General features: G+C 37.7%; 1 protein-coding gene across 12 annotated transcripts in view, besides 3 other annotated features; it reads right to left on the reverse strand.

The window, feature by feature from the left end:
- The window catches only part of RRAS2 (RAS related 2), an 86,587-nt gene that overhangs the window by 51,413 nt on the left and 7,616 nt on the right, over positions 1–27,558 (reverse strand). For 2 of the 12 annotated variants that reach the window (NM_001440714.1, NM_001440709.1), the window contains exon 1: positions 12,478–12,800. The exons of 8 other annotated variants lie outside the window; for them this stretch is intronic. The gene's annotated coding sequence lies outside the window, so the exon portion shown is untranslated. Of the gene's footprint in view, positions 1–7,668; positions 7,774–12,477; positions 12,801–27,353; positions 27,373–27,558 lie in introns of those variants that run through there. 2 more of the 12 variants (XM_047426567.1, NM_001440713.1) reach the window with 2 other exon arrangements.
- Positions 11,359–12,033: an enhancer, noted in NCBI's record as "OCT4-NANOG-H3K27ac hESC enhancer chr11:14362237-14362911 (GRCh37/hg19 assembly coordinates)". NCBI's record gives its function as "activates a minimal SCP1, AML or CMV promoter by ChIP-STARR-seq in naive H9 embryonic stem cells {active_cell/tissue: H9 hESC(naive)}" and the evidence as "EXISTENCE:reporter gene assay evidence [ECO:0000049][PMID:30033119]".
- Positions 22,984–23,870: an enhancer, noted in NCBI's record as "H3K4me1 hESC enhancer chr11:14373862-14374748 (GRCh37/hg19 assembly coordinates)". NCBI's record gives its function as "activates a minimal SCP1, AML or CMV promoter by ChIP-STARR-seq in primed H9 embryonic stem cells {active_cell/tissue: H9 hESC(primed)}" and the evidence as "EXISTENCE:reporter gene assay evidence [ECO:0000049][PMID:30033119]".
- Positions 23,871–24,757: an enhancer, noted in NCBI's record as "H3K4me1 hESC enhancer chr11:14374749-14375635 (GRCh37/hg19 assembly coordinates)". NCBI's record gives its function as "activates a minimal SCP1, AML or CMV promoter by ChIP-STARR-seq in primed H9 embryonic stem cells {active_cell/tissue: H9 hESC(primed)}" and the evidence as "EXISTENCE:reporter gene assay evidence [ECO:0000049][PMID:30033119]".

Consider the following 27,558-nt stretch of genomic DNA (forward strand, 5'->3'; position numbering starts at 1 on the left):
CAAACTCCTGACCTCAAGTGATCCACCCGCCTCAGCTTCCCAAAGTGCTAAGATTACAGGCACAAGCCACCACGTGGGGCCAAAATTATATATTTTAAAGCAGAGATAGATCAAACACAAAATGAATCAAGTTAGGCTTTTAGACCCCTCGCATACACAGATACCTTTTCTTATTCTAAACAAATATTCACATGTGCATAATCTTGTATTTTCTTTCCTAAAGAGGGTCCTCAAAATTATATAAGCTGTAGGTCCCCTCAACACCTGGATCTGATTCCTGCAGTAAACAGCAAAAACATACCTTTTCTAATGTCTAAAACTTGCCAATTTCTGGCCATGATGCCAAAAGTAAAATAGAACAAAAAAGCAGAAATCAACAAAGACTTAAATTTTAAATATATAATAAAAATTCACATGATGAAAGGACACATTTTAAATTAGGAAATTAAAAACAGGGCCAGGCACAGTGGCCCATGCCTGTAATCCCTGCACTTCAGGAGGCCAAGGTGAGACAGTCACCTGAGCCCAGGAATTTGAGGTCAGCCTGAGCAACATAGTGAGACTTCATCTCTATAAATAAAAATAAAAATAAATTAGCCAGGCGTGGTGACACATGCTTGTAGTCCTAGCTCTTCAAGGGGCTGAAGCAGATGGACTGCTTCAGCCCAAGAGTTCGAGCCTATAGTAAGCTATGATTGTGCCACTGCACCCCAGGCTGGGCCACAGACTAAGACCCTATCTCTTAGAAACAATGAAAAAGAAAATTAAAAAATATCCAAATGACTCAATGTAGTATTCACGGTGTAATGTGAATGTGTTCATTAAAAGATGTAAAAACACAGCAATGAATTCTAAGATTTTAGAAAACAAACCCAAAGGAAAACAGAACAAAATAATTTAAGGAAAAATACAAGGATCTATTCATTGGTAGTCCTGATAATTTAAGAACTGCTTCCTGGCCAGGCTCAGCAGCTTACATCTTGTAATCCCAGCACTTTGGGAGGCCCAATCTATATAAAAAATTTAAAAATTAGCCGGGCATGGTGGCACACGCCTGTAGTCCCAGCTACTCAGGAGGCTGAGGTAGGAAGATCCCTTCAACCTGGGAGGTCGAGGCTGCAGTGAGCCATGATTGTGCTACTGCACTCCAGCCTGGAGGACAGAGACCCTGTTTCAATTAAAAAACAAAAAACTGGTTCCTTGGGGTTGGGGGAACACCATACTCAGAAACTTAAATGAGTACCACTGATGAGGGGGACGTCTTTATCATTTCAGATTCCCTGAAAAAGCAGAGGCATTATGATGACATGTAGTTAACATTAAAAAAAATTTTTTTTTCAGATGATATAAATATTCAAACGAAAAAGGCTGTAACAAAAATAAGATACTTTTAACCACAGCTATATGTTGAGAAATTTAATTAAGGCAATGTTTTCACACCAAATTTTTAAGAAGAAAAATGTATTTACACATAAAGCTTACATTTCAAGAGGTAGAAAACTGAATCAACAGGATGAAATAGACAAAATTGTTTATCAACAATAGGAGTAACTATAGTTAATAACAGTGGCAAATTTCATTTGTTTTTTGTTTGTTTGCTTGTTTTAGAGACAGTTCACTGTTGCTCAGGGTGGTGTGCACTGGCGTGATCATAGTTCACTGCAGCCTCAAACTGCTGGGCTCAAGCAATCCTGCTGCCTGAGACTTCTAAAGTGCTGGGATTACAGGCATGAGCCACTGCGCCTGACCCTAAATCCAGATTTTTAAAGAACATAAAATTTAAAGCCCTGGGAGAATATGAAGATGAACATACTACCCAATTCATCTTTCAAGTCAAATATATTCTTGGTCACAAGTTTCTGTGAACCTAGAAACTGGAAACAAGAAACACAACACCCATACAACTTAATAAAATAAACAAGAAACTGGGGTAAAATGATGGTGTATAAAACCCCTCAGTGTACTAAGTAAATATATTCTAATGATCTAACATATCACAGTAATGGCTTAACAAAAACAAAGAGGATCCATTTCTACAGATATCAAAACAGCATCTGGTAAAATTACATTGCAAATAACATTAAAGGAAAACACTAATAGGATACTTATATAACTTATCCAAAAAATTTTAAAACCATTGTACACGATGTAGAAAAAAATAGTTAACAAAACAAGGTTATCTACTGTGTTCATTTTGTTTGAACTATTTTGTTATAAGGTTCTGGCCTGGGCATGGTGGCGCACATCTATAGTCCCAGCTATTCAGGAGACTGGCGGGAGGATCACTTGAGCCCAGAAGTTCAAGTCCAGCGTAGGCAACATAGGGAGATCCCCAACTCTTAAAAAAAAAAAAAAAAAAAAAAAAGTTCTGGCAAGTCTACTACAGAAAGAGGATGTAAGTATTAAAAGGGAAGGAACAAATGAAAAGGCAAGATATGGACTAGAAGAAACTATCTGTAATACACAGCTGACAAAGGATTTGTGTTCCAAATATATTAAGAAACTTTACAACTCAGTAACACAAAGCAATCCAATTTTCAAAAGAGACAAAAGACATACAGACACACAAAAGGAGCTATACCAATGGCCAATAGGCACATAAAAAGATGCTGAATATCATTAGTCGTCAAGGAAAAGCTATTTAAAACCACAATGAGATACCACAGCACAGCCATTAGATTGGCTAAAATACCCAGTATCGGTAAAGACCCAGAGTAACTGGAATTTCCATACCCAGTTGCTGGGAATGTAAAATGGTACAACCATTTTATAAGAAACCACCTGTTTCCCAAAGTTAAACATCCACTTACCATACGACCCAATAATCACAACTTGGTATTTATCCAAGCAATATGAAAATGTAAGTCCAAACAATGACTTGTACATCAATGTCTGGGGCAGCTTTATTCACAGTTAATGAACATTGGAAACAACCCAAATGTTCTATCAATAAGCAGACAAGTAAATTGTGGTATATCATACAATGAAATACTACCAAACAATAAAAAAGAACTAACTACTAGCCAGGCGTGGTGGCGTGTGCCTGTAGTCCCAGCTACTTGGGAGGCTGAGGCAGGAGGCCCACTTGAGCCTGGGGAGGTTGAGGCTGCAGTGAGCCATGATGGCACCACTGCACTCAAGCCTCAGCAACAGAATGAGACCTTGTCTCAAAAATAGTAATAATAATAATAAAATAAAGAACCATAGAAACAAGCAATATCATAGATGAATGTCAAAATCATCATGCCAAGCAAAAACATCCCAGACACAAAAAGAGTACATACTGTATATTTCTATTATATAAAGTCTAGAAACAGGCAAAACTGAACAATGGGAATAAAAAGTCAGAAGGGAGACAAGGGACCTTCTTGGAGAGATAGAAATGTCCTATATGTGCTTGTAATGATGGTTACACAAGGTGTGTAATTTTTCAAAACTCACATGACAGGCTTTTCCAAGTAAAGTAACAGATAATGGGCAAAGACATGAACAAATCATACAAGGAAAAAAAATGCAACAGTAAAAATAAGAATCAGAGTTCCCTGGAAACAATAACAATATAAACCAAAAAAAGTTTAAATATCATTTTATATCAATTAGCAAATTAATTTACAACTTTTTTCTTATAAAATAATTACACCATTGTAAAAACTTTATGAAAGTATAAAGAAAAAGATAACTCAACATTTGGGTCAATTTCTATTTCTTCCCATTGTTTTATCTATTATTTTAAAGATTAAAAAATAACACAAAAAGTATTTTTTCTTCAGGTAAATCATAGTATAAGCAACTTATGTCATCATATATATTTCTTAAATAATTTTTATAAGCTACACCGATCTGCTTTAAGTCCACTAGAAAAAAGAGTTATATTTAACCATTGGTCTATTTAAGACAATTCTAGTATATCACTATTATAAGTCATGTCATGATAAATATCACTGTAGATAGATATTTATGGTTCTTATCCCTGGAGGTGTATTTATCAAGTCAAAGGAAAAGGCGAGGCTATTGATAAATAACACTAAACTATACTCTAGAAAACTACACCAATTATATTCCCTTAAGCTTATAAACTCAAGTTTTAAAAATTCCTTTTCCTTATAAACATATTGCATGTTCAATAAAGAAAATCCAGACACAGAAAAGAAAAAAACAAAAATAATTAAAATCATCCATAATTCCACCATCTAAGGATGCCCACTCTTAGCTTGTGTCCTGTTTTCCTATGCATATATAATTAAATCTATGCTGTACTGTGAATTTCATTTTATAATCTGTTTTCATTTTATAATCTGTTTTCCCCACCCCCACCCTGCCCCTTTTTTTTTGGAGACAGGTCTCTGTCGCCCAGGCTGGAGTGCAGTGGCAGCGATCACAGCTCACTGCAACCTCGACTTCCCTAGGCTCAGGTGATCCTTTAACCTCTGTTTCCCAAGTAGCTGCAACCACGGGCACGTGCCAGCATGCCTGGCTAAATTTTTTAGAGACGGGTTTTCGCCATGTTGCCCAGGCTGGTCTTGAACCCCTGGACTCAAGCAATCCACCTCCCTCCACAAAGTGCTGGAATTACAGGCGTCAGCCATCTCACACAGCCCCGCCCTTACTTTTAATGAGCATTAGCTTACCAGTCTTTTAAAAGTAATTTTAATGACATGGACCATATTTAATCCATCTTCATTATTGACCACATAGGTGATTTCTAATTTTTTTAGATTAAGCAACAGTCAAATCATTGCACATATAGGAAATTACTTCATCAGAAAAAGTTACCTGGAAAATAACTACTGGGTCGAAATTTATGAAATTTAAGATTTAATTCAGCTTGTTGATTTCCAATCTCAATAGCAGCACGAGAGTGCCCATTTCCCATAACTTTACCTATAACAGGTAGTATTTTACTAACCTGTGTCAATTTGATAATTTAAAAATCGTTTATTGTTTTACTTTGTCCTGGTTTTTTTTTCCTATTCAGTGAGGGCTAACAATTTAAAATGTTTATTGATTTGTTTTTCAACTGCTCACCTTGCTGTCATTTTAAGATATGAGAATTATTTGTATCATCAGCAAATTTATTTTAAAAATGCAGTTCTTGTTGTTGATCATATCCATTAAGTTATATATATAATTCTGATATATCCATGTAACCTATTCAATTACTGATGGAGGGTAAAACTTTTTTGAAAAGCATCCATACATACACACACACACACACACACACACACACATAATGGATTAGTCTGTCTCCTACATCAAAGAAAATTATCTAGCTGGGACTCCCATCAAGTTCTTCCTTGTTTCTAAAAACTCTCCTGCATCCATAAACATAGCCATATAAATATCCTTCCCACCCTTCTAGCGAGTGTTAAAAAAAAAAAGTATATTATTCTGCCCATCTTTTATCCTTCAGTTAGAAATCAAATCTCCTCCAACCTTCTCAAAGGTCCTTGCCATCAACAACTGTCCCTCCTCCAACATCTTCCCTATTGTACTAGCTTTTTCCTCAGCATATAAACAAGACACCTTCTTTTTCTAAAAACACTCACATGCACCACTGCACTACCACCAACCTAGCCCCAACCTCTGCTCTTACCTTCCTTCTTTCTCCTCCATCAACATTTTTCTTGACTGCCCATCCAGCGGTCTGGCTTCTAGTCCCACACTGCTCTCTGTGTCCTGTTCATTGCTGAATCCAAACTTACAATTTTCACCATCAGATTATTTACCAATCTAAGACCTGTGACCCTGCTGAACACTCAAAGCCATTCCTGAAACTGTCTTCTCTTGGTTTCTGTAATACCTAACATGATTTGTGTCTCTAGTTCTCCAGTGGGTTCTGTTCAGTCATCTTGTTCCTTTTCTTCTTCCAGAGTCCCTTTTAATGGCAGGCTTCCAGAGTCCCACCTTGAGCCGGCAGACCTCCTTAACATGAATGATCCTCATCTACACCAACTAGCTTCAAAAATCCTTACTTTACATTCCCAAATCTACCTCTGCACCTAAATCTCTTACCTACACTTCTCTTCTGATTATAAAAAGGGATATATACCTTCATATGGCAGCCCCTGAAGCATCTCAAACTCAACAGGTTCAGAACTGAACTCATCATAAATTAAGATGAATGACAAAATGACTTGCAATTTGAATGAGGCATAAAAATATCAATCTATTTTTTGAGCTAGCAGAGAAGTAAAAATAGAAACAAAATCAAAACTTCAGAAGAAAACATCAATTACAACATTACTTAATAAACCAAAAAGCCCTTAAAATAACTTTTTCTTCTGAAAAGATAGAGTAGACATACTTTTCCCTATTTCTCCTGCTAAAAACTAAAAATCCTTGACAAACATAAGACTCTGAAAGTTTGAGGGAAGGCATATAGACCAACACTTTGGAATCCAAGAAACCAACACTGTGGTGAGTTTCCTGGGTTTTCTTTTTACAACATATATCCCAGAGTTGGAGTTGAAAAAGCCAGCAACATGGAAATGCCAACAGACACAGACAAAAAAAGTACTAACAAAAGAATGCTCTCTCTAGCTAAAGGACCAGAACAGGACGTCCCAGCAAGACAGAAAACTTTTAGATGACAGCTGCTCTACTCCCAACAGACACCAAAGAAAAAACCTCTGCCCACACCAGGGAAGGTCAAGTGGGGATCCTAGAATCCCACACTCAAAAGGCTGTAAAGGGGCACCCCAACACCCCACTGCAGTGGTGTCAGGGAAGACCAAGTGGGGAGCTAAGACTTTCATCCCAACTGGCCAGCATGAACCTCCTTCTCCCAGCAGTGTCAATGGACTTCCATCCCCACCAGGCAGTAATAAAGAGCGTCCCCACATTTTGGACTTAATGTAAGCTGAGTAGGGAATCTAGACACCTGCCTCACCTCACAGTAACAAGGCAGCACTTCCCTTTCTCCTGCCAGAGTGGTATCCAAAAAAGCCAGCTAACCCAGTCTAAAAAAATACAGAGCCACACAACAAAATATGAAAATGTGCAGATTTCAAAAGAAAAACCCAAGGAACAGGAAGATCCCAAACCAAATGACAAAAAGACAATCGACAGACACCAACATCGAGATAACAAAGATGTCAGAATTATCTGGCAAACATATTAAGGCAGTCTCCATAAAAATGTTTCAACAGCTTGAAACAAATGAAAAAAAAGTCTCAGCAAAGAAATGAAAGTCTCAGTAAAGACACAGAAGTACAAAGAAACAAATGGGAGCTTAAAACTAAAAAATACAATAATCAAAATAAAGAGCTCAGTGGATGGTCTTAACAGTAAAATGGAAGGGACAGAAGAATCAACAAACTAGAATGCACAACAGTAGAAACTACCAAATCTGAAAAACAGAAAACACACTGAAGAAAAGAAAGCAATGAACAGAGCCTCAATAGCCTTTGGGAATGTTACAAAAGATCTAACTTCCATGTTATCAGAGGATCACAATGAGAAGACAAGGAGAATAGAGCTGAAAAAGTACATGAAATAACAGCTGAAAACTTCCCAAATGTGGTAAGACATAAACCTACACATTCAAGAAGTTGAATAAACCCCAAAGAGGAAAAACCCAATGAAATCTACACCAAGACACATCATAATTAAACTTCTAAAAACAAAAGACAAAAAAATATTGAAAGCAGCCTAGGAAAAACATCTTACCTACAGGAGAAAAACAGCAGATTTCTCATCAGAAACCATGGGGATCAGAAGAAGTGGCACAGTATCTTTCAGGTGCTGATCAAAGAAAACTACAGTACCTTGCTTATCCCCAGTTTCACTTTCCTTGGTTTCAGTTACCCACAGTCAACCACAGTTCAAAAATATTAAATGGAAAATTTCAGAAATAAAGTTTCAAATTGTTTACCATTCTGAGTAGCCTGATGAAATCTCACACCATCTCACCCAGGACAATGAATCATCCCTTTGTCCAGAGTATCCACACTGTATATGCTACTCAACCGTTAGTCATCAACACTGACACTGTCTGCTCTGAACATTCAACTGTTGACATTATCATGCCTCAACAAGCCATATCATCATGCCTCAACGATCCAGGATCATCCAAAGCAGATGATTCTGACCATACATCAGAAGGTCAATAGTAACAATGCAACATCACAATGCCTACATCATTTACCTCACTGCTTCTCATCAAGTAGGCATTATCTCATATCATCATAAGAATATAGAACAAAAAGATATTTTGAGAAAGACCGCATTCAGATAACTTCTATTGTAGTATATGGTTGTAATTTTTCTATTTTATTAATAATCTAATCTCCTACTGTGCCTAATTTATAAATTAAACTTTATCGTAGGTATCTATCTCCTTATTGGAAAAACAGGATATGTAGGGTTCAATACTATCCACAGTTTCAGGCATCTGCGGGGGTTGAAATATATAGCCCTTGCAGGTAAGGGGGGACTACTGTATTAACTCAGAATCTTATGTACAGTAAATTTTTTAAAAATTGTTCTGGGATGAAGGAGAAATCAAGACCTTCTCAGATAAGGAAAACCAAAGAGAATGTATTGCCAGAAGGGCCACCCTAAAAGAATGGCTAAAGAAAGTTCCTTAAACAATAAAAGGAACCTTGAAACATCAGAAAGGAAAAAACATGGTTAGCAAAAATATGGACAAACTCCATAGCTTTCCTTCTCGAGTTTTCTATAGTATGCTTGACAGTTCAAAAAAAAAGTTAATACTGTAAAATGTATATAGTGAGAATATTTAAAAGTTATATTATAAACAGGAAAATAAAGGGACATAAAGGTTTCCATACTTTATTCAAACTGGCAAAATGACAGTATCAGTAGGTTGCAATAAATTATACATAAATAATGTAATACCTAGAGTACCCACATAAAAAGCTAAAATCCTATAAGGTAAGTACTATTATCATCCCCATTATATTGATGAGGAAATTAAGGCTCAGAGTTGCATAAGGACGCAGATACTAGTAAGTACAGGCTGAGTATCCCTTATCTGAAATACTTGGGACTAGAAGTGTTTCAGATCTGAAATTATTTTGGATTTTGGAATATCTGCATATACATGAGTTATCCTGGGGGATGGGACCCAAGTCTAAACATGAGATTTATTTATGTTTCTATACACTTTTTACACATATCTACAAGGTAGCTTGACACATATTTTTAATAATTCTGTTCATGAAACAAAGTTTGTGTACTTTGTTTCAAGGTCAAGAGCAAAACTGAGGTCAAGTTTTAAATTTTCCACTTGTGGCATCATATCATGACTCAAAAAGTTTCAGATTTTGGAGTATTCTGGATTTCAGATTTTTGAATTAGGAATGCACAACATGTAAAGATGAGACTCAATCCCGAAGTCAAATGGCTCCAAATCCTAATTTTTTTTAAACCACATTAAAAAGGGGTTTTGGGGATTTAAAGCTCAGAGTTACAGAAGGATACAGATACTACAAAACAGTGAATATGGGACTCAATCCCAAATTCTGATTTTTTTTTTCCACCACAATAGAAAGGGGTTCTTGGGATTTAAAACTTCAAAACATGATGGGGAAACGGTTTTTCACTAACCTCTGTTAAACCAAACTTATGTGACGCCATCTGTTTGGACTGAGCTTCTGTACTACGCCCAAAAGACCAAACCAAAATGAAGTTACCCATGCTGAATGAAGTTCCACACCACCACGCCATTTATCTGACCTTCTAGAAATCAGGAGAATGAGAGATGACAGCCAAATACCCAAACAGGCCAATTTTAGCTGGCACAATAAGGAAGTCCCATCTGCTTTAACCTTTACAAGGAAAATAACTTTAAAAATATCAGCTGGCCCGGGCTCAGTGGCCCACACCTGTAATCCCAGTACTTTGGGAAGCCGAGGTGGGAAAAATCACTTGAGGCCAGTTGTTCGAGACCAGCCTGGGCAACACAATGAGACTGTCTCTACCAAAAAAAAAAAAAAAAGGGGGGGGGGGGAAGAAAAAATCTATAATAAAAAAATAAAAAGACCGATCCATTTTTTGTTTTGTTTTTGCTTTCTTCAGCCCTTTTCTGTCTATAAAGCCAAACTGCTGTGCTCAGTTCATCAGAACAGTCATTCTATTTTATAAAATGAGATGTTGCCAGATTCTAGGATCAAAAAGCCAATTAGATCTTTCAATTAAATTTGTTGTAATTTTGTTTTCTGATACCTCCAACTGAAACTTAGCACTTCCTCTATAAAGCACTCTAGCAATACCTGCTGATTGTCAACAACAGACGTCAGATATTTTCATGTAATAGCTACTGCAGGTAAGTCAGAATAGCATTTACACTACTAAAGTTAAAAAGAAAGAAAGAAAATAGAAAGTTAAAGTTAAAAAAGAAAGTTATTAAAGTTAAAAAGAATTTTTTTAAAAAGTTAAATAATTTTGCTTCTAACATTTTGATATTTGAATTTAAATGTACTGGTTCCCCTTATAATCATATACATTTTATTTTATACATTTAAAAATAGTATTCTGGCTGGGAGCAGTGGCTCATGCCTGTAATCCCACCACCTTGGGAGGCTGAGGTGGGCAGATGGCTTGAGCTCAGGAGTTCGAGACCAGCCTGGGCAATATGGAGAGACCCCGTCCCTACTAAGAACACACACAAAAAAATAGCCGGGTGTGGTGGTGCAGGCCAGTGGTCCCAGCTATTCAGGAGGCTGAGGTGGGAGGTTTGCTTGAGCCAGGGTTTGGGGGTTGTGGGGGAGGTTGCAGTGAGCCGAGGTCGCGCCACTACACTCCAGCCTGGGAGACAGGGCAACAGAGTCTGTCCCTCTGTCTCCCAGGCTGGAGTGTAGTGGCGCGACCTCGGCTCACTGCAACCTTCGCCTCCAAGGTTCAAGCGATTTCTGCCTCAGCCTCCCAAGTAGCTGGGATTACAGGCGCACCCCACCATGCCCAGCTAATTTTTTGTATTTTTTTAAGCAGAAATGGGGTTTTGCCACATAGGCCAGGATGGTCCCAAACTCCTGACCTCAAGTGATCCAGCTGCCTCGGCCTCCCAAAGTGCTGGAATTACAGGAGTGAGCCACCGCACTCAGCCAAAAAAAAGTATTCTGAGAATCCCACAGGCTTTACCAAACTACCAAGAGCCCTTTACACAAAAAAGTTTAAGAATCCCTACATTAAGAACCATTTCCAATTTATTAAAAAGTCTTAACAGACCACAGCTTCTACTTGTCACTGGAATGAGAAGAATGGCTCTGCTAGAAGACACCGAAAGAAAAATACCTACAAAACTAAACCATGCTAGAAGCAAATGCTTTTTCAAGTTCTCAAAAATCAATACCGTAAGAGTTAGACCCTTAGTTCAGTAAAAATCTATCCACAATCATCAAAGGATCCCCAATTTACACCATGAGTTAATTCCTAGGTAATTCCCAAAAAGGATATAATCCAAACCTCTAAACTCAAGAACAAGAGCACTTTTTCCACCTTCCCCAACCTTCCACCTCTTACCTACCCCTACCCATTTCCTCTTGAACATTATAATCTGTAAATCTAAAGATGGAGAGTTCCTTTCTTGAGGAAATTAGCAACATTCAAATGTATATACTTTCACATTCTTGTTCCAAGAACACAGAATTCCTTTTCTCTCCCCCATCCCACCTCTCTCAAAGGCATAAGTACCCAAATCAGGCAAAGCCTTTAAGATGAACAATGACCACGGCATTTTTTCTAATCCCATGATGAAAATAAGATTCCTGTCATACGCAAAGCCACCAAAAGAGTGGCAGCACATTTTTTACATAAATAATCCTATCCCTCCCCCTGAAAATTCAACACTTGATGAAAATCTTCTCGGTCCAAAAGTAATCCATTTTCTAAAGGAATAAATTTCATGAGCAAAAAAAGTCAACAGCATAGCACAGAGCACAGGTCTAGTATGATACTCCAGGTTTTCTTTCAATCGGTAAACCTACCTCAAACTACATTATGTGGGCATTTGTTTTGTATACCTACAAATAGTGTTATGAATTCGGTGCTGAGAAAAGTTAAAGGCATTTCTGTATATAGGAAACTAAAGGCAAAATTAATCATCAGTTCCTGTAACTACCAAGACAAAAATTAGATACTGTGCTTTGGAGAAATCTTCAGAAACCATGTATAGTAATTCTTAAAGCAAATCATAACACACACATTCACGTACAAGTTTTATCCACAAATTGAAATATGAATTTCTTACTGTAATAAGAATGTACTCAAGTTTTATTTGTTGTTTGAGAAGGACCAAAAAAAAAATAAAAATAAAAATAGTTTCCTACTCTGAAGGAAAACCCCTGAAGAAAACACTTGTGTCTCGTCAAACAAGTCATGATACCTTTAACACCAAATTAACAGCTAAAAATTTCCATTTGACTACACAGTTAAGTCAGAGTACATTCTCTGTTCTTAATTAACTATAAAATACCTCAGAAAATGTTATGAAAAAATATAAATACGCATACTCACCTCCCGACTTAGGAAACAAAACATTTGTAATATGATTGAAGACTCTTGCATGCCTCCTCAATAATATTCCCCTCTCTCCTCCCCCAACACCAAGAGGTAATCAATATCCTGAATTTGGTATCTGTCATTCTCATGCATTTATACAACATTAGTAATCATATGATAGTATTCCTAAACTACGTTTTGGAGAGGACACCACTGCAAATCTTCAGCTCTATACTAGCTTTTATCAGTAGCCATCAATTGCAGTTTTAATAGAAATACAAATACATCAAGTGTGCTTTTGGGTGAAACCTCACCCTTCCCTCTCCTCCTACCCCACTGCTCCTCCCAGATTCAAATTGTTAACACAGTCACATGACCAAGAACTTCAGAAAGAGTATCTATCACTCTTTTCAGCTCCCCTCTAGTAAGTGTTGGCACTTTTATTCCAACTTAACGTTAATAGTTCTGTAGTGAGAAGAGGATCATATTTAGAAATACAAAAACCAACTTAAATCCCAGCTTCGCTTTTTACTTGCTACAGGACCTTGGGCAAATCCCTTCTTCCCAAGCCTGCATTTCCTCATCTGTAGGATGGAAATAATGACCATGACGATGCCATGCTGCCTTCCAATCATAAAGGGTTGTAACTGGTAGAAAATGAAATAGTCATAATTACTTCAATGTATTTTTCATAGGTACCTGCTCCTAATTAAAAAACAAAACTTGAAACCCTTAGTAATATAATTCAGTTACCGCATTGTATAGGAAAATGAAGTCCAACCAACCAACCAGCTTATCAAAAATACAAACCAAAGTTCATCAATACAGGTTCTATACAAGCTATAGAACATGATATTATACCTTTTCATTTCATAATTCTATTGAAATTAATGCAAACTCAAGGTTAATATTAAGAAAATAGAAGATGCCTAGTTTCATTATCTAGATACTAGCTACTTATTTGGGGGACATAATTAATGTATGGTGCCTTTTTCAATGTTAATCACTTAACTTGTCTCATATACATATTTCACAACTGCAACTTTAATTTTCAAAGAATTAAAAATATGACAAGGCTGAAATCTATGTCACATAATTCATTTTGGCACTACTCTAAGTAAACAGCTATTGATAGGAGTAAAAACGAAGAAAAGTCACTAATTACTAGATCCATTTTAAGTAATAATGTATAGAATATTACAAGAGGTTCTGTTTTTAAAAGAAAAGGAATGTGGGGTATTTTGTGACAGGCCAGTAAGACAGCTGGAACAAAGCTGTTTGAGCAACAGCTGTGCACCATGTACTGTTCATCTAAAACCACAAACTAAAGTAACTCATGTCAGACAACTTCATTGGATAATCAGCTCAGCCAATGGCTTCTTTCTGAAACTCTCACTACAAAGAAATAGACACTAAATATATACTTTGCAATGATTTGAGGAAGGAGACAAAATAAACAATTGTCTCTAAATATAAAATTAAAAACTAAAAATTACAGACTAATAGTGAAACAGAAGACAAAGTTTTCCATACTATTTTCACACCTCTTAGGCTTCATAATAGTAAGGAAATAACCCAAAGACTCAAAACTTAAATTTGAATTACTAATATGCAACCTCACCATTCCTACTCCATTCTTAATTAACTTTCAAATGAATCAAAGTGCTTCGTCATAAAACATCTTCGCAGTGGTTATCAGAAATTTTTCACATTAAGTCACTTGATAATTTTAAAGTAGTTCCCTGTAGGCCAGGCGTGGTGGCTCACGCCTGTAATCCCATCACTTTGGGAGGCCAAGGCACGCAGGCAGATCGCTTGAGCTCAGCCTGAGTTTGACAACAGCCTGGGCAGCACGGCGAAACCCCGTCTCTACCAAAAAAAATACAAAAATTAGCGGGGCATGATGGTGCACGCCTGTAGTCCCAGCTACTTCCGGGGCTGAGGTGGAAGGATCGCCTCTACCCGGCAGAAGGAGGTAGCAGTGAGCCGAGATCGCGCCAATGCACTCCAGCCTGGGTGACAGAGTGAGACCCTGTCTCAAAAATAAATAAAATAAAATAAAATAAAACAAAAATAAAGTAGTCCCCTGTAATCCCAGCACTTCGGGAGGCCAAGGTGGGCAGATCACTTGAGTCCAGGAGTTCGAGAGCAGCCTGGGCAACAAGGCGAAACCCCCATCTTTACAAAAAAATACAAAAATCAGCCGGGCATGGTGGCGCACGCCTGTACTCCCAGTTACTGGAGAGGCTGAGGTAGAAGAATCACTTAAGCCGGGGACATCAAGGCTGCAGTGAGCCATGATTGTGCCATTGCACTCAAGCCTGGGAGACCCTGTCTCAAACAAAATAATTTAAAAAAAAAATTTTAAGTAGTTCACTTAAACCAACTTGTTGGCATGGAAATTCCATGCCATTATCTGAAAATAATAATTCATGTAGTACTCAAGCTACTACAATCATTAATTTAAACATCTGCAACTCGTCATTAAATTATCAGACTTAACTTTTGTTTCACATTTCCACTTTTTTATTCCAAAAACCCACAAACCTCTCTCTAACCTTAAATTCACTCCTTCCTCAAGTAAAATGTATGCCTCTGTGTACCTGCACACAAGCCTACTTGCATGGGGCAAATTTCCCTTAGTTGACACACCTTAATTTTAGAGGCAAAAAGGACAAAATTACAAATTTAATAGCCACATATCTTTTCCATGTGATTTCTGAAACTTAAACATTAAATCTACCACAAATCTTCCTCTGCAGTTTGACTTGACTACCTGCTTAGCTTTCCTTTCAGCTCGCATCTTTTGACTACTGAAACGTCAACCACATCGTCATTAACCAAAAACAGGCATTAAGAGAAAATTCATCAGGAAATAAAACAAAAGTTACAACTTTTAAGACCTTACTCTCAGACTGTTGTATACTTCCCAAGTCAGAATTGCCAGACAGAAATTAAGAAAGGACTATCTTCTCCAAAGACTATTTTGGCTAAAACCGAATGCTACGGATCAACTTCTAAAACTCAAGATTCAACGTGTATATGCCACACATGATTTCTGAAATCCAAAATGATAGCCAGCTCTTTCTCTTCTTCAGTAACTAGATGCTATGGAACCATAATAGATACAACTCATCTTTCCAAAAGCCTCTTTTTTCCACTATTTATTTCCTGTGCCCTACTCAAGACTTTATTTTTTTTTTTTTTTTTTTTGAGACAGTCTCACTCTGTCACCCAGACTGGAGTGCAGTGGTGTGATCTCAGCTCACTGCAACCTCCACTCCTGGGTTCAAGAGATTCTTCTGCCTTAGCTTCTCAAGTAGCTGGGATTATTGGCGCGTGTCACTATGCCCAGCTAATTTTGTATTTTTAGTAGAGACGAGGTTTCACCATGTCAGCCAGGCTGGTCTGGAACTCCTGACCTCAAGTGATCTGCCCTACTCAGCCTCCCAAAGTGCTGGGATTACAGGAGTGAGCCACCGCACCTGGCCTCCACTCAAAACTTGATACTAGCAAATAGCAACAAATATTTTGTTGTGCTTAGTTCTGTGTAACAAAGGTATTCCTAGTCTACGATTCTGAAAATGCAAATATGAATAAAATGTACAAATATAACTAAGAGACATAGATACAGACAAAGCACACCAAATATATAAAGTCCTCTACTAAAATACTTATAGTCTAGTGCTTACAGGGTTTAAGATAATGTCAAGGTGAACCAGACACAGATCGTTGTTCAAGGTCTGAGCTACAGAAGAACAAAAGAAGGAAAAAGGGATCGTTTTCTAATCCATAACCTTCTTTTAAGAATACACACACTCTTCCACTTGCCTCACTGCAGAAAGCTGTGGTATGAAGGATTTAAAAACTTGAAAACTATCCCTTTTAAACATCTCTAATTCTACAAAAGTATACCTCTCAGCCAAAAGCCCATATTTGGAGATTAAGATTTAGAGGGTGTAGTAAAATTTTGTATTTGTTGAAATTCTGCTACTGATAATCTCCAAGAAACTGAAGCTCTCCAACGTCAACTTGCTGTTTAGCACCAAAACAAAGCAGAAATCTCAGTACCCCAAGGCAATTCTGAGAGATGACCAGCTCTTAACTTCCTAAACCAAAAATAGCTATGAGCAACTCTTCATGAATAAACAAGAAAAACAAATATATTCTTCCACACAAAGAAAAATCACTTCCCTGTAAGTTGTTTCATTAAATAGTATCAAGCTTTACAAAAATACCAGTTTTGTGGCCTTCTGAAAAGACAAGAGAACATTACCGTTGTTTAATATCAGACCGAGAAATCAAGGGCACTAAATATGTTTTGGAGACAGTAATTATGTGTGACATCCAGAAAATTTCATCAAGGATGGAGAAGACAAATTTGATAAATCTTCCTAGAATAGAGAGGATCTTATCCTTTTCATTAGCTAACTTAAAACAATGTACTATAAAGTTACAGAAAATCAATGTGTAAATAATAGGTACTTAAGAAGATAACTGAAAAAAATGAATACAAAAATGGAGAAGTCTTCCCAGACCTGAGAGTGTTTCATCATTTCCCTGAGAATACTAGTGACAGAGAAAAACTTCTAGTCATATCCTGATAAATGTGTCCATTTCCAATGATAAGAGAATGCTGCAAGCATACACCTAGTGAAGTTATTTCTACAGAAACTTGAGGCCAGACAAAGATAACAAATAAAGCAGGACCTCTACTGTTATAACACAAAAATGTTGGGACCCAATAATTTTATACCCAGCCAAATCATCATTTATCATGCAAAAGTAAATTTAATCTTAGATATGTTTTCAGTAAAAAGTACTTGGAAATGTTCTTTAAATCACAATTCAAAATAAAAAGTAGCTGTAAAGCATAGTAACTATAGTTAATAACAATATATTGTACTCTTGTAAAAAGCTGAGTGGATGTTACATGTTCTCACCACAAAAATGACAACTATGTGACATAGTACGTATGTTAGCTATATTTAGTCATTCCACAATGTATATATACTTCAAAACACCCTGTTGTACATAATAAATACATACAATTTTATCTGTCAATTTAAAAATAAAAAGGCCAGGCACAGTGGTTCACGCCTATAATACCAGCCCTGTGGGAGGCCAAGGTGGGAGGATTGCTTGAGGCCAGGAGTTTAAGACTAGCTTGGGCAACAAAATGAGACCCCATCTCTAAAAAATAAAAATAAAAAAGTTAGACGGGCATGGTGGCATATGCCTGTAGTCCTAGCTACTCAGAGGGCTAAGACAGGAGGAGGGTTACTAAAGCCTAGGAGTTTCAATGTTGCAGTAAGCTATGATCATGCCACTGCACTCCCGCTTGGACAACAGAGCAAGACCCTGTCTCTAAATAAAGACAATTTTAAAAATAATTAATTAAAACTAGCTGTTCATGAGGATTGTTTGTAAACACTAAAACCAGGTAGAATGATAGAAATGGCAAATAAAAGCAATAACCCTTAATGACAAACGGATTAATGCCAATGGGTATTAACTATTGTAATTGTAATAACAAAACAGAATGCAGAAGATTTTTGAAATCTTTTAAAAATACTGAATCTGACACAATTTTGGTTGTTGTAAATAAGGACAAAAAATGTACGAAAGGAGTGGGTAGAAACAGGGTTAACAAAAGTGCTTAATTCTCATTTTCTGTAACTGGGAATAAGACACTATTTTCTGATTCCCTAATTATGTATGTTTAAAAATATAAATCATTTTATACAGGGACAGATGGCTCACACCTGTAATCCCAGCGCTTTGGGAGGCCAAGACAGGAGGATCACTTGAGGCCAGAAGTTCAAGACCAGCCTGGGCAACATAGCGAGACCTCGTCGCTACAAAAAATCAAAAACTTAGGTACAGTGGCTCACACCTGTAGTGCCCGCGCTTTGGCAGGCAGAGGCAGGAAGATCATTTCAGCCCAGGAGTTCCGAGGGTGCAGTGACCTGTCATCACACCACTACACTACAGCCTGACCTGGGCACCAGAGCAAGACCCTGTCTTTAAAATTTTTAAAAGAATATAAATAATTTTTAAGATAAATTCCAGTAGAAAAAAAAAAATCTACTTTCCAAAAACCACCACAGAACACAGAAAAAAACAAAAACAGTTGTACAGCAAAAGACACACTTGGTGCAAAGGGAGGAAGTTATTATGCTAAATAAAGATTAGAGTTTATGGACAAAACCTTACTGGCCTAACCTAAATTTATCAACCTTTCCCTCCCAAGACATCTGGCTACAAAATTAAGAAGATATATTTTTTAAACAGAAAAAAACCTGGTCCCCTTTATGCTCTGCTTGGTTCCTTTAGGCTTAATTTCATTCAATGCCTCGCTGAACAAATTATAAAGACAAGATCTCATTAGCATAACAAAGTAAAACAAACTCTGCTCATTATTATTATGTAGAGTAACATCAAAGATGTTGACTTTCATCACATGGGCAAGTTGGTGTCAGATTTCCCCCTGTAAAGTTGTTATTTTCCCCCTGTAAAATTAACAATAACTTATGAGAACATACTTTGAGACTATATTAACATCTACTACTCTCAAACTTTCACATACTAGTTTTAACATCCATTTTTACCCACTTAGTTTTAAGATCCATTTATGGTTCTTACTTAAATCAACTGTTATAATTGCCAAAAGGCAACTTACTAATTCCACCTTTTCCTTTATGTTCATTCATTAGTCAGAATTCTACATTAAGGACTTCTAGATCATTTATTTATCATAGATCCTTACTCTATTTATGGGTAATAAACAAGTACTGCCTTATTTATTTCAATGATTAAATTGCCCTATAGTCAGTCAATGGGAGTTTTGCCAGGCTGGCTCCTGTGTCTCTTTCAAATATCCCCATCATTTTACCTTTTTGAGCACTCCCTTATGAGACTACAAGATGCTCCAAGCATATTTTGTATTTTTTCCTTCCCCTATTCTGGAATCCTCCATTTCTCTAAGGTTCCTTCCAGTAGAGAATAGTATTAATGGTATTTAGAAACCAAGATCTAGTGCTAGGTGATCTCATTGCTAAAGGGGTATCACTGCTTCCTGGCCATCTTAGCAGACAGAAGTGGAAAAAGATGTACAGATGTACGCATGTGTATCCATAATGAGATCTATTTCTATATCTACATACTTCTTTTTTTGTTTCTTGTTTTTGAGATAGAGTCTCGCTCTGTTGCCCAGGCTGGAGTGCAGTGGCGCGATCTCGGCTCACTGCAAGCTCCGCCTCCCAGGTTCACGCCATTCTCCTGCCTCAGCCTCCCAAGTAGCTGGGACTATAGGCACCCGCGACCACGCCCGGCTAATTTTTTGTATTCATTTTTTATTTTTATTATTTTTTTTAGAGACAGAGTCTTGCTCTGTCACCCAAGCTGGACTGCAGTGGCGCGACTTGGCTCACTGCAACCTCCACCTCCCAGGTTCACACCATTCTCCTGCCTCAGCCTTCTGAGTAGCTAGGACTATAGGCACCCGCCACCACACCCGGCTAATTTTTTTTTTTTTTTTGTATTTTTAGTAAAGAGGGGGGTTTCACTGTGTTAGCCAGGATGGTCTCGATCTGCTGACCTCGTGATACACCCGCCTCAGCCTCCCAAAGTGCTGGGATTACAGGTGTCAGCCACCACACCCGGCCTATATCTACATACTTCTAAAACTATGAATTTATGCCACTATCTGCAATTCCAATCAAACATCAGAGTTCATTTTAACCTTCACATTTTTCACCTTTGTAACTCCCTTCTCCAACAGTGAGAAACTGGCTCCCATTTTCCACAATATATTTACTTATTTGCTTATAACAGTATAGACAATTGCTTCAAAATTGCAAACCCATGCCTTTATGACAACAACAAAAACCAAAAATTCTAGTTAACTCTATTAACTAGAGTTCAATGTTTCTTTCAATCTTTTTGTCTTTATCCTGAGGACAGAGTTCAAATACTAGGATCAAAAGTTACCTAAATTAGTTGTTTTTCACTCCTTCAGTGTAGTTAAGTTACTCATTTGAAATACGGTTCAGTTCATTTGTTTCTATTTGTACTCCCTGTTAAGGTGTTTTTATTTGTCATCAGTTGATTTGGTTGGTGTGTTTGCTGCTTATATACTCAGTATGTGAAACATTAACATGGTTTCAAAAGTCAGAAAGGTATCCTCAGAAGGGTCCCTGCCCCCATTCCCTCTATCCTTTCCACCATATACCTTTTTACCCATCCTCTAGGAAATCAATCTTATCAACCTCCAATTTATCTTTGTGTTTTGTTTTTGCCCCAATGAACAAATACATACGTATTTTCTTATTTCTCCTTCTTTCTTACACAAAAGGTAGTATACACACAGTAGTAGATACTTTTGCACTTTTTTTTCACTGACTGTAAGTTTGGTTTGTGCGATTCCTCCAAATCTCATATTGAAATCTGATCCCCAAAGTTGGAGGTGGGGCTTAATGGGAGGTGTTTGGGTCATGGGGATGAATCCCTCATGAATAGATTAATGCCCTCCCTGGGACTGGGGTGTGAGTGAGCTCTTACTTATTAGTTCCACCACAGCAGGTTGTTAAAAAGAGCCTGGCGCCTCCCCCACTGGCTTGCTTCCTCTCACCATGTGATCTCTGCACATGCCACTCCCCTTCATCTTCTGTCATGAATGGAAGCTTCCTTACACCCTCACCAGAAGCAGATGCTAGTACTGTGCTTCTTGTACAGCCTGCAAAAACTCTAAGCCAACAAAACCTCTTTTCTTTATAAATTACCCAGCCTCAGGTATTCCTTTAGGGCAGGGGTGTCCAATCTTTCGATTTCCCTGAGCCACACTGGAAGAACTGTCTTGGGCCACACATAAAATACGCTAAACTAACGATAGCTGACGAGGTTAAAAAAAAAATTGCAAAAAAAAAATCTCATGTTTTAAGAAATTTTATGAATTTGTCTTGGGCCACATTCAAAGGTGTCCTGAGCCGCATGCCACTCGCAGGCTGAGTGTTGGACAAGCTTGTTTGAAAGCAAGACAAACCAAGACAAGTGAACAACATATCCAAGAAAGCACTCCATATCAGTTAATCATGCCCTCAGTCTTTTTCACAGGTGCATAATGCTCCATTGGATATTCCTACCACGTAGACTGCTTGTTAATTTTTGTAATTAAGAAATGCTGCAACCTTGTACATGTGTATTTTCATACTGTGGGAAGTGCATCTTCTGGGTAAATTCTGAGATTTGGGACTGCTGAGTCAAAAGGCATGTATGTGGTCAAATAAACACATCTTATGTTGCCTAATAACACATAATTTCTGTATTATTTCTGCCCCCCAAAAAATGCATAACCTGAATCTAATCATGAAGAAACATCAGCCAAACCCAAACTGAGGGGACTCTATAAGTAACTAATTTGTACTCTTTAAAAATATCAATGTCATAAAACACAGAGACTAAAGAACTGTTCCAAAGTAAGACATGGAAATAATGAATTGGATAATCTGAGATTTTCTTTTGCTATAAAAGGCGTAACTGGAACAACTGGCAAATTTCAAACAAATTCTACACATCAGGTAATAGTATAATAACAAATCAATGTTAATTTCTGAGTTAGGTTAGTATATTTTATTCATGAAAGCAAATGCAGCCAGGCACAGTGGCTCACACCTGTAATCCTAGCATTTTGGGAGGCCAAGGCAGGTGGATCACATAAGGTCAGGAGTTCAAGAATAGCCTGGCCAACACGGTGAAACTCCGTCTCTACTAAAAATACAAAAATTAGTAGCCGGGCATGGTGGCAAGCGCCTGTAATCCCAGCTACTCGGGAGGCTGAGGCAGGAGAATGGCTTGAGCCCGGGAGGTGGAGGTTGCAGTGAGCCAAGATCGCACCACTGAACTCCAGCCTGGGCAACAAAAGTGAAACTCCATCTCAAAAAAAAAAAAAAATTAGCCAGGTGTGGTGGTGGGCGCCTGTAATCTCAGCTACTCGGGAGGCTGAGGCAGGAGAATGCCTTGAACCCAGGAGGCGGAGGTTGCAATGAGCCGAGATTGTGCCACTGCACTCCAGCCTGGGTGACAGAGTGAGACTCCGTCTCAAAAAAAAAAAAAAAAAAGAAGACAGCAAATGCCCTGGTTTTTCGGAAATACACAAAGAGATATTTAAGGATAAGGGTGGCATCATGTCTTCAACTTACATTCAAATGATTTTAAAAACCATATATTGCAGGGAATAAGCAAATATAGTAAAATGTTACCATTTGGGAAATCTGGTTAAAGTCAAAAAAGAAAGCAACATCGGATGTCTTTTTAACACTTATATTCTTATTTCTACTGCTGAATTTTACTTACATGGATAAAGAGCTTTCTCCCAGAAAAAAGAATCATTGTATAAGGTGACAGTAAGTTAAAGACGGCAATATTAAACTGTTAGTATATACCGACAATAAACTGACTGCATTTTTAATTAAACTATAAGTTAAAGCTGTTCAGTGCTATGCAACAAATAATCACATGGCCTTTATAAAACACTAAAAATAAAATATAATTTATAAGACATCAAGGAGCTCAGTCCAATTATTCTCAAGTACAATTTAAGACAATTTATATTTCTTTGCATCTTTGAAACACATTTTTCTTTGCAAAAGAAATAAATCTAAGGCCTACCAACTACAAGTTTAAGTTTCAATCTCAAACAGACTCAGCAGCTCTGCCCAAAGTAATTCAAGATCAAGGCCTTTCAACAAAATTCATGACTATTAACTCCATACTGTCTACACGCAAAGTGAAAATCCTTTACTCATTATCACTTTTCATTAAGGAAGGCACGGTGGAATTAATATCCTAAAGACCATTTTCCCCAACCAGAAAAAAAGGCGTGTCAAGTGGCATCACAAAATCTGTTTCAATTTTAAAGACCAACTTTAATTTGAAAAAGAAACTTTTAAAATATATATATATAGAGAGAGAGAGAGAGAGAGAGAGGGAGAGAGAGAGAGAGAGACATTTTTTTTTTTTGAGATATAGTCTTGCTGTGTTGCCCAGGCTGGAGTGCAGTGGCATGATCTCCGCCCACTACAACCCTCCGACTCCCAGGTTCAAGCAGTTCTCCTGCCTCAGCTCCTGAGTAGTAGCTGGGATTGCAGGCGCCCGCCACCACACCCAGCTAATTTTTGTATTTTTAGTAGAGACAGGGTTTCACCATGTTGGCCACGCTGGTCTCAAACTCCTGACTTCAAGTGATCCGCCCGCCTCAGCCTCTCAAAGTGCTGGGATTACAGGCATGAGCCACCGTGCCCAGCTAAAATTTTTTTTAATAGCTTTAAGAAAGTCTCTTCCCACTCTACTCCCCCAATTTAAAGTTATCAATTTATTTTCCTAACTGAATGGAGCAGACTATTTTTATTCAAAGCTTAGGAAAGACCATGATATTTCAGCAATCAGATGAATTAAAATCCCATCCCGGTAAGCAGTAGCCTGTTATCTACCAAGGGAAAGCAGTATTCTTGACCTACTCAACAAAAGTGCTCCCACTCGGCCAGGCATGGTGCAGGCCCAGGCGGGTGGATCACCTGAGGTCAGGAGTTCATGACCACCCTGGCCAACATGGTGAAACTCCACCTCTACTAAAAATACAAAATTAGCTGAGTGTTGTGGCACATGCCTGTCTATAATCCCAGCTACTTGGGAGGCTGAGGCTGGAGAATCGCTTGAACCTAGGATGTGGAGGCTGCAGATAGCCAAGATCACGCCATTGCACCACTGCACTCTAGCCTGAACAAGAGCGAAACTTCGTCTCAAAAAAAAAAAAAAAGTGTCCCCACTCAATTCCTACAACTTCCTTATCCCAAAACAGGGGTACGCATGCACACAAACACACACACACAGAGACAGACACAAAGAGAAAGAGAATGAACAAAACAAGAATAAGACGTAAGTTAAGAAACTGCAGGTTAAAATTTCCTTCTTCTCCAAAGGCAGTCATCCTCTATAAGAAAATGTTCTTCCTTGGGTGTACAGAAATTTTATCTAGGAATTGCCTGCAGGACCATTTCAACTGTTCCCCAAACAAGAAAACCTTTAGTATGGTACCACTTTGGGGGCAGGTGTCTTATTTCTCAATGCTAACAATTCATTTGTACATTAATGTTAAAAAAGTTTAAACACTAAAAATGTCTAGTTTCAAAATAATAGATAAAAGTTAACAGTTTAAGTAGTTTCTAATTGCAGGAAAAATCTTCGAGATGTAGCAATGGAACAGCAAATTGGGAATTTAAACTCACAACCTTCACATGTGGATCAATTAACTATTAACACAAATCTCCTGAAATCTCTTCTCGGCTCTCTGCCCCAGGAAAAAGCAATGAAAAAGTACTCAGCAAAAGACAAACTTTTAAAAAGCAATGCTGGGTCCAGACTAACAGGTCATAGGACTGACTGAAATTCAAGACGTGAGAAATCAGCTAACCCCTACCTACCTCAAAATCTGGCAAATTGTTGAATAAAAAGTTAATATGCTAAAAAAAATATATAAACCTCCCTGTAAATTTTTAAAACATATATGGCCTTTTCTCAGAGTTACCAGATAAAGCACTAACCCCAAAATTAAATGCTTACCTCATTATTTCTTAAAATTAAATCCAAACTGACAAAAAGAAATTTCTCCAACTCAAAACGGAATCCACATTCATCACCTGAATACCACACAGAAGTAAGGAGGGGAGTATAGGGTTGAGCCAGGAAGGAGAGGGCAATGAAGACTTAAAGTAATAGACCAGATTATGTGTCAAAGAAAAATGAAAAAATTACAAATTTTGTTTTGGAGGAACACCAAGATACAGAACTAACAGCAGCAAATAAAACCAAGTAACAATTTCTTTTTTTTTTTTTTTTTTTTTGAGACAAGAGTCTCACTCTGCTGCCCAGGCTGGAGTGCAGTGGCGCAACCTTGACTCACTGCGACCTCCACCTCCCAGGTTCAAGTGATTCTCTTGACTCAGCCTCCCGAGTAACTGGGATTACAAGCACGCACCAACACGCCCGGCTAATTTTTGTATTTTTAGTAGAGGTGGGGTTTCACCATGTTGGCCAGACTGGTCTCAAACTCCTGACCTCAAGTGATCCACCCACCTTGGCCTCCCAAAATGCTGGGATTACAGGTGTGAGCCACCACGCCCAGCCAACAATTCTTATTTGCTTACTCTGTAGATGGCACGGTGCTGGATGATTTACCTGCATTATTTTATTTACTCCAAAAACCCTAAGGGTACTATTATTTAATGTTATTCTCCCTTCTCAAATGGTGAAACTTGGGTTTAGAGAACCTAAGAAACTTGACTAAACACACAGCTAGTTAAATGAATAAAAAAAAAAAAACACTCCTAGAATTTCAAAAGTGCAGAAATTTGTTCAACCAAACCCAACATTTCATGGGGAAGAAAGAGAAGCTCAGTCGAGATAAAGGCAGATTAAGAAACTACTCAAAGTCACCTGGGTAGAGAGACATAGACCCCACACACCCAGCAGTCTCTCCTAACCACTCTGTACCATCCTGAAGTCATTTCCTACCTAGAGTTTACTTAACATTTAGGTGTTCTACCTACCAACAGAACTTTACACATTTTTCAAAGAAATATGAGCAACAGAAAGGAGGAGGTAATGTACACACACATATTCATTAAATAACATAATACTTTACATTTTATCATGGCTACTTTATGATTTGTTATATTTATTTTTAAAAAGGAAAAGGTATCTCAATTTAATTATCTTAGTTCCCTAATTTTGCAACTCTTCATATGAACAGAAGGTAACAACTAAATCTAAGTCAAAGAAAGTTAGGGTAAAAGGCATTGTTTTTAAATTCTCCGTTCCCAATTTTATATTTTTTTCTGCTCAAAATCACATAGTAGAAAATATATATACTGAAAATTGTAAAAACAGTCTGGTGTTTCAGGAGTCTTAAAAAAGTAAGTCCAATTTGTGCCATTCTAATCTCCTACCAAGAGAACTGACTTCTGCTTATTAAAATGATTAGTCTGCTGTGTTCTCTCCCTCCAGTTACTACTGCTAAACAATCATGGTGGAATGAATTTTAACATTCCAGGAGTCAGGCAATGAATAGCTACCCTATTAAGTGTAAATATAAAAAAATCGCTTTAGCTCCATAATCTAAAATTAATATAAAAATGTATGCAGCTTTACTACAGACTGTACTAGACACTGTTCTAAGCCCTTGACATGTTAACTCATTTAATTTCACAGCTATATGTGGTCCACCATATTTCCCCAGTTTACAGATGGGGAAAACTAAGGTACAGAGAAGTTAAGTAACCTGCCTAAAATTACACATGCAGCAAGTGGTAGAGCTGAGACTGCATCCAGGTGGTCGGGTTCCTGTCTCTCCAAAAAGGCTCCTTTTTGCAGAGACCAGATCACAGGTCCCAAATCAACTATCAATCCCACTTCCCCACTTGCCACCTCCTCTCTCCAAACTAGCATATGACTCCCACATATGACATTTCCATTCTCCCCACCACCAAGCCTACATAATGCTTTCATCAATTTTTTCCACAGACTTCTCTGAGTCTGAATTCCCTTTGCATTTAAACATGTTACAGAACTGTAGGCATAAACACTGATAACACCTACCATTACTGAGCACATACAACATGCTGGATACAATGCTACCATCTTTGTCATAAAAGTTATAAAGAATGTGTAATCAGACCCATTTTACTGGCGAGAAAACTGAGGCTCAGAGAGGCTGAGTATTTTGGCCATGTTCTCACAGCCGATAAATGACAGAGCTTTAAAAGACACACATGCTCAAGTCTGTAAGACTCAAGGTTCATACTCTTTATGTACACATATGTCTTCCTCATACATACCTGCTTCCTTTACTTCTTTAATATCATCTAGAGCATCCAGGTACTATACTATTCACAGTGGAGGTATTTCTTCAACAAATGATTCTATAAATTATTAGGAAAACGGCAATTAATGCTTTTTTTTTTTTTTTTTTGAGGCAGAGTCTCGCTCTGTTGCCCAGGCACAATCTCGGCTCACTACAATCTCCGCCTCCCGGGTTCAAGC

Source organism: Homo sapiens, chromosome 11 (assembly GCF_000001405.40).
Source record: "Homo sapiens chromosome 11, GRCh38.p14 Primary Assembly".
NCBI classification, from domain to species: Eukaryota; Metazoa; Chordata; class Mammalia; order Primates; family Hominidae; genus Homo; species Homo sapiens.